Genomic DNA, 8,778 nt, shown 5'->3' with positions numbered 1-8,778 from the left:
ACTCCCATGACCCTCATAATAGGTACAGAAAAAGGCTTTTGACAAAATTCAACACCATTTCATGATGAAAACTCTCAACAAACTAGAAATATAAGGAAATTACCTAAATATAATAAAGGCCATATTTGAAAAGCCTATAGCTTACATCATTCCCACTGGTGAAAAACTGAAAGCTATTCCTGTAAGATCAGGATCAAGGAAAGGATTCCCATTTTCAGCACTTCTATTCAATCAAGTACTGAAGTCCTTGACAGAGGAATTATACAATAAGAAAGAAAGAAAAGTCATCCAAATCAGAAAGGAGAAAGTAAAATTATTTGTTTGCAGATGACATAATCTTCTAAATAGAAAACTCTAAAGACTGCAAAGAAACTTTGAATTAATAAATTCAGTGAAGGTGCAGGATGTGAAATCAATATACGAAAAGCAACTACACTTCTGTTTACCAACAACCAGCTACCTGAAAAATAAATTAGGAAAACAATTCCTTTTATAACACCAAAAAGAACAAACTTAGCTAGGGAGGTGAAAGGCTTACTAAAAGCTATAAAACATTGATAAACTCAAAGTTTTATATGTCAGAGTCCTGGCACAGGGTGGTGGACTGTCTGCTCAGGGTCTCAAATCAAGGTGTCCACAAGCTGCTTTCTCAGCTATTGCTCAGAGTTCTCTTCCAAGCTCATATAGGTGCAGAAAAAAATTCAATAATTTGTATCTGCAGGTTTGAGGTCCCCATTTTCTTGCTAGCTATTGCTCATGGGATGCTCTCAGTTCCTAGAAACTACTCTCAGATCTCGCCACATGGCCCCCTTCATACTCAAAGCCAGCAAGAGAGTTTCCCTCACCTCAGATCTTTCTTATACTTGGATCTCTGACTTTTGTGTCTGAACTCTGGACCTAGATTTAAAGGGCCCATGTGATTAGATCAGGCCAAAACAGGTTTATCTCCCTTTTGCCATTTAAGTAACATAATTACAGGAGTGACACTTCATCATATTCACAATTTCCAAACACACTCCAAAGAAGAATACATAATGGCATAGGTCACAGGTGGTCATTTTACAATTCTGCCTATCACACAGGGCATGGGGAACCATAAAAGCTAAAGCATAATTTCTCAAAGAAGAAGGTAAGGTAAGAGATTTTCAATGTGTTATCTCTCCAGTTAGCTAAAAAAATCTTATAGACCATAAGATATTGTTTATCTTAGTACTGCCATGCATAATACATGCCTGACATGTAACAGAAACTCAGTATTTGTTGAATGGAACACTTGACTTCCCTTTGTGAATACAGACTTCTAAAGCATGCATTGATTAACCTTACTCTCCAGCACCTTCAATTGCCTTAATTGTTCAAGGCAATCAGGTGTCCTAGATTCCACTTGAAGTTCCCTCTAGTTGAATACACCAGCAAAATCCCAAAGGAAATAGTTCCTAGTAAAAGCAGCATAGCTTCACTCACTATGTCCGTGAATTATGAAAACCCTGAATATGAAAAAATGCAAAAGTAGCAAATCAGTCAACACACATTCACATGTAGTCTAGATGCATAAATTGGTCATGTAACATAGACATTCTTTGGTAATATGTGAACAAGTCCTCTGACTTCTAGCCACTCTTTTTGCTAACTCTACTAAATAAAAATAATGAAGTATAAAAATTGTAAATGCTTCAACCACTGAAAGACACGTATAGTTCACTAAACATTTTATTCATTCATTCAACAAATATTCCATTCAACAAATATTTAATTTTAATACGTGCCTACTAGGTGCTAAGAAATGTAGTAGATATGGGAGAGGATACAAGTTCATTCAAGATAACAATTCTTTTATATATAAATCAGAACTGATTTATAAATCCCTGTGTACTAAAATAGCTTAAAACTTGAAAACTTGGAAAAAAAGTTTTCTCCCTACAAGATATTGTGAAAAGATCAAATTGGAAACTTTATTTTGTAAAACTGAGCAGCATTTAGATTGTCCACTAGATGGCAAATAGTTACACAGGGAAATACCCAATAGAACAAATACTTCATAGAATTATAGATTTTGTGATAAAGAAAAGGCAGGGTTTTTTAACAAATGAAGCAAATGCCAAATAAAATATTCTAAAAGCACCTTAAATCTTAATCTTATCCAGAATAAAATCCTTCGATATTCCTATTACCTTATCATTGCTTATGAATCAAAAACACGGCCAAAAAGAGAAAAAAGACAAGAAATGAAATGTTATATAAAGGAAATCTTTCTTAACTATAGGGATTAAATAAAAGGTGCACAATTATTTTTCAGTCAAATAGGTGTAAATAAGATAAAAATGTGCCATAAGCAACTCTGTGAGTAAAACAGTCTAGATTGTAAAAGACTGTAATCACTTATTAATAATAACTATGTCTAGAAGAGAAATAATCATATGAAGAGGACCTATTCAAATATGTGGTAGTTCACTGAAGGATAAATATATTATTGGGGGTGGAGCTGATTGCTATAAGAAATCACTGAAAAAATTTGTTGAACCAAAGTTAAATCAACTACAAAGTATGTCATACGCAATAAATGCATATGAATGTGTATTTGTAGTCTTCATATTTTAAGTATTAATGAAGGTAATTAAGAAAAAACAGGAAACAGGAAAGGATAGGCCATGCATTTTATACTATTGTCCCAAAAGGAAATCAAATGGCTAATAAACATGAAGATGTTCCCCCACCACTAGTATCCAACTGGTAGACTCTGAAGATTGCTAATACCCAGTACTGCCAGATGAGAAGAGAGGCACAGGCAAGGTTGATGGGTAAGTCAAATTTATTGTCTTAATAAGTATATAAACTGATCCCAAGTTTGTATTTTCTAATGCATCAAAAGAAAATGACAAAATAAATGCAGTAAAGAACAGCAAAGAATCAGCAGAATCAAGATAGGATACTGGCCAGCAAGCAAGAGGGCAAGAAACTTATTTATCATATTTAGCATTAGGAGATCATCTCACCCTAGAAGTCCAAGGCATCCTCTATGATTGAACACAAATGTGTTAATCTAAACTTTTGCTAATATTTAAATAAATCTGTGATGTACACCAGTGTATATAAATATTTGCCTTATTTTCTAGTCATTTTCTTAGAATATATTCCAAGATGTGGAATGGCCAGGTCCACTGGCAATGATATCCTTTTAACAGTACAGTTGCTGATTTACAATAGTCTTGAGTTATCCAACACAAAAGAGTTCATATTTCCAAAAATAGATTCTTCCACAAAAATGTCCTTAGAATTATTTTTGAGATGTTATATCAAATATTAAAAGTTATCATGTTCAAAAATGTAGTGAGTTCTGAGGCAAACAGTGTTGCTAGCTTCTTAGGCAAGCTTTACAGCAAGAGTTTATGTGTTTACTGATTAGATACACTAATGTGGGGAAAATATTTGACTCAGGTTATAAGAGATCCTCTGACCTCTATGTCCACTGCTCCCACATACTGCCTGCCACAATGAACAATCCATATGTGACTTTCAAATGAATAGAACTGACAGCTGTTTTTTGTTAACAATGGTTATAGTCTCATTACAAAAAAAAGGATTATTGTGCATCTTATATCATATGGATCCAGTCGTTTCCATTTAATCTCTTTATTTTTATAGCAGCATAGCCCTATAATACTGCTAATTAAGGTACCAAGTTAGAGTGAACATTGTTTTCATCCTGTGAAATGTCTATGTTTCAAAATATTTCATGTATGTGAGGATGGGGGAGTAAAATCTCAGCCAGATTTTTGAGCCCCTAAGTCTCTTCTCAATAACATTTTAGAATTTTAGGCATTTTTAGAAGATATAGTCTCTTTTTTAGTGTAAGTTTTATTTAAGTCCACATTAAAAATACATTGGCATGGTCTAAACTTTAAACAATTCAACAAGCTGACAGCCAAATCATGAATTAACTCCCATTCACAATTGCCCCCAAAAGAAAAAAATACCTGGGAATATAGCTAACAAGGGAAGTGAACGACATCTACAAAGAGAACTACAAACCACTGCTTGAAGAAATCAAGGATGACATAAACAAATGGAAAAACATTCTATGCTCATGGATAGGAAGAATCAACATCATGAACATGGCCATACTGTCCAAAGTAATTTATAGATTCAATGCTATTCCCATTAAACTACCATTGGCATTCTTCACAGAATTGGAAAAAAACTATTTTAAAATGTATATGGAATCAAAAAAGAGCCCAAATAGCCAAGGCAATCCCAGGCAAAAAGAATGAAGCTGGAGGCATCACACTACCTGACTTTATACTAATAACTGAAAAAGCATGGTACTGGTACAAAAACAGACACATTGACCAATGGAACAGAATGGAGAACCCAGAAATAATACCACACACCTACAACTATCTGATCTTTGACAAACCTGACAAAAAGCAATGAGGAAAAGATTCCCTATTTAATAAATGGTGCTGGGATAACTGGCTAGCCGTATGCAGAAAATTGAAACTGGACCCCTTCCTTACATCATATACAAAAATCAACTCAAGATGGATTAAAGACTTCAATGCAAAACCCAAAACTATAAAAACCATAGAAGAAAACCTAGGCAATACCATTTAGGACATAGGCATGGACAAAAATTTCATGACGAAGATGCCAAAAGTAATTGCAACAAAAGCAAAAACTGACAAATGGGATCTAATTAAACTAAAGAGTTTCTGCACAGCACCTCCCCCGCCCCCACAAAAAAAAACCTATCAAGAGTAAACAGACAATTTACAGAACAGGATAAAATTTTTGCAAACCATGTGTCTGACAAAAACCCAATATCTAGCATTTATAAAAAACTTAAACAATTTTATAAGAGAAAAAAAACAACCACATTAAAAAGTAGGCAAAGGACATGAATACATACTTCTCAAAAGAAGATATACATGCAGCCAACAATCACATGAAAAAAGCTCAATCAAAACCACAGTGAGATAGCATCTCACACCAGTCAGAGTGATTATTATTAAAAAGTCAAAAAATAACAGATGCTGACAAGGTTGTGGAGAAAAAGGAATTCTTTTACACTGGTGTTGAGAGTATAAATTAGTTCAACCATTGTGGGAGACAGTGTGGTGACTCCTCAAAGACCTAAAGACAGAAATACTGTTCAACCCCACAATCCCATTGCTGGTTATATACCCAAAGGAATATAAATCATTCTACTATAAAGACACATGCATGCATATGTTCATTGCAGTGCTATTCACAATAGGAGACATGGAATCAATCCAAATGCCCATCAATGACAGACTGGATAAAGAAAATGTGGTATATATACACCATGGAATACTACGTAGCCATAAAAAAGAACAAGATCATGTCCTTTGCAGTGACATGGATGGAGCTGGAGGCCATAATCTTTAGCAAACTAACCCAGGAACAGAAAACCAAATACTGCATGCCCTCACTTATAAGCAAGAGCTAAATTATGAGAATGCATGGACACATAGAGGGAAACAACACACACTGGGGCCTATCAGATGGTGGATAATGGGAGGGAGAGGATCAGGAAAAATAACTAATGTGAACTAGGCTTTAAGAAATCTCTCAGGAAAAAAAGTCCCTCAGAAAAATAAAACAGAAGCCAGAATTGCTAAATATATTCTCTAGAATGTCCAGTCTTTCACCAAAAAAAAAATTAGACATGCAACTCTGAGAAAATTTGAGCATCAAATTAAGTTACACAATCCACTGAAATACGAAACTACGAATTCAAGTTCATATAAACGAATGGAAAATGTAATGAGGGTCAGGATCTTTACATTGTTTCAAAATACCTCTCCACAAGATACATATTATTACAAACAGAAAAAAAAAAGAGCAACTTTACATTGCAGAAGGCTGGCTGACAATACCACCTTAATCCAGTGATCAAAGTAAACTGCAAATTGAAATGGTGTGGCACAAGAGAGGATGTAACAACACTTCTGAGATAATTTTACGAAACACCCATAACATGGATCCAATCATAAAGAATTACCAAACTCAAAATCAGAACATCCTATCAAACAACTGGCTTATAATTCCTAAAGTGTCAAGGTCATAAAAATGAATGAAATACCAAATATTTATTGAAAAATTAAGGAGAATCAAGAGACATGATAGAGGCAATATTTGATTATTTTGCTATAAAGAACATTATTGGATCATTTGGGAAAATATGAATGAAATCTGAGAAGTGTATGTTAGTATTGTATCAATATTAACCATTCCCCAATTTAGATGGTTATATTGTGATTATGCAGAAGAATGTTCTTGTTCGAGGAAAATACACACAAAAGTCTTAGGGGTGATACAACATAAGGTCGGCAACTCACACAATGGTTCAGAAAAAAAAAATTGTACTGAGAAGACAATTTTTCTCTAAGTTTAAGATTGTTTCAAAATTTAAAATAAAATCAGTAAGTAATCTCCAATCCACTCCACTGCACCTGTGGGTAGCAGAATAATGGCCTGTCAAAGATATCCATATCCTAATGCCCAGAACCTGGGAATATGTTATTTTAAAAGGCAAAAATGATGGAAAGATGTGATTAGATTAAGAGTTTATAACCATCCCCAATTTAGATGGTTATATTGTGATTATGCAGAAGAATCTTCTTGTTCGAGGAAAATACAGACAAAAGTCTTAGGGGTGATACAACATAAGGTCAGCAACTCACACAATGGTTCAGAAAAAAAAATTGTACTGAGAAGATAATTTTTCTCTAAGTTTGAGATTGTTTCAAAATTTAAAATAAAATCAGTAAGTAATCTCCAATCCACTCCACTGCACCTGTGGGTAGCAGAATAATGGCCTGTCAAAGATATCCATATCCTAATGCCCAGAACCTGGGAATATGTTATTTTAAAAGGCAAAAATGATGTAAAGATGTGATTAGATTAAGAGTTTCAAGATGGGAGGCAGGCTATCACGGATTTTCCAAGTGGACTGAATGTAATCACAAGCATCTTTATAAGTGAAAGGAGGAGGCAGGAAAGTCAGAGAAGATTTGAGGACAGAAGCAGAGGTCAGAGTGATATAATTGCTGGGGATCAGGAGCCAAGGATTGTGGGCAGCATTTAGATGCTACAAAAGGCAAGGAAACAAACTCTCCCCCAAAGCCTCCAGAAAGGAACACATCCTGCCAACATCTTGTGGTTACCCCCCTAGATCCACTTTTTACTTCTGACCTCCAAAACTGTAAGATAATCCATTTGTGTTGTTTCAAGTCACTGCATTTGTGGTAGTTTGTTACAGCAACAATAGCAAACTAATAGAACTCCTTAGGAAAGAAATGTCAGGTATTTCTTTCAAAGCAAAAAAGTGATTATGTAAACGTATGATTCATTAAATCTCAGTAAAGACTGCAGAATAAAAGCATCATCTATGTAACACATGAAATGGTTTTCCTTGCAGCTAGTAAAAGAATCTTTTGTGGGGAGAGGCTTTATTTCTAGAGAATGAAAGTGGGTAAGCACACCACAAGTGAGATGCACACTGTTGATCTGACAAGCTGACCCCATGATTTCTGTTATCAGTCATCTTTTTGCTGGGGACAATAAACAGTCTCACAGTATCAGTGGTTTAAATGCCAAACATTTATTTCTTTCTTTTGAGTACTGGCTGTGGCTCTGCTGAGCCCGGCAGGGTTCCTCTTTTCAGCTGGGCTTAATTCAGACATGCCCCATGTGTGTCTCATTGGGAGACCAAGGCTGGAGAAGTAGCTGCTATCTAACATGCTCTCCTTGGGGAGGATGGCAAGAGTGCAAGAGGGTGATGGGCTTCTGATAAGAAAAAAAAAGGCAACGTGTCACTTCCACTTACCTTTGAAAAATTAGAAAAATGTGCCCTTTCTTTGACAGACTTGTGTCAAAGCACATGGTTTAGTCAGCATCACTCCCTCCACGAGGGTGCTCTAAATCTGCACAACTTTATGCCATAACTCTAAGTTGGTTAGGGGAAGAGATCATTCATGAAGAAATGTATTTCTCCTAGCTGTCCACATGAGTGAGAAAAGTAGTCTACTTATATGGTTGCTTAAAGGAAGTGTACATGTTTACCTAAAGTTGGGTATGTATTAAATAGTTGTTTTCTGTTGTTAAACTTCTTAAAGGAAAAGTAAATTTGTTCTGTTTTAGATATTACCAGGCACACTAAAAAGTAATTCACAAGTTGACAATATTCTAAGAATTGAAATACTTGAGAGAATTCACAAAATTGTTCCTAGAGATGTAACAGTAATGGAGAAGCAGAGCTGGCAAAATCAGATCAAATATCTGTGCACTACATCTGCACTACAGCATACCATTTTAGAGTACACATTTTCCCCAAAGAGTAGTCAACACAAATTCTATTATAAAATACGCAAAGTTCTTCATTCCACCTAATTTATTTTTTTTCTATTTTGTGACAAGGTCAGGCTGGAGTACAGTGGCAAAATCACAACTGATTGAGGCCTCAACCTCCTAGGCTCAAGCAATCGTCCCACTTCAGCAGGAGTCTCCTAAGTACGTGAGACTACCAGCATGTGCCACCATGCTTGGCTAATTTTTAAATTTTTTGTAGAGATGGGATGTCATTATGTTGCCCATGCTGGTCTCAAACTCCTGGGCTCCAGTGATCCTCCCACCTCAGCCACTCAAAGTGTTGGGATTACAGGTGTGAGCCAACGTGCCAAGCCTAATTTCTTATTAGAAGTACTATGTCAAAATTCCACCTACCCTTCAGAACATGGTTAAAATCTCATCTACCCC

This window comes from Homo sapiens, chromosome 7, assembly GCF_000001405.40.
Source record: "Homo sapiens chromosome 7, GRCh38.p14 Primary Assembly".
Lineage (NCBI taxonomy): Eukaryota > Metazoa > Chordata > Mammalia > Primates > Hominidae > Homo > Homo sapiens.
Note: the sequence above shows the minus strand (reverse complement) of the source record.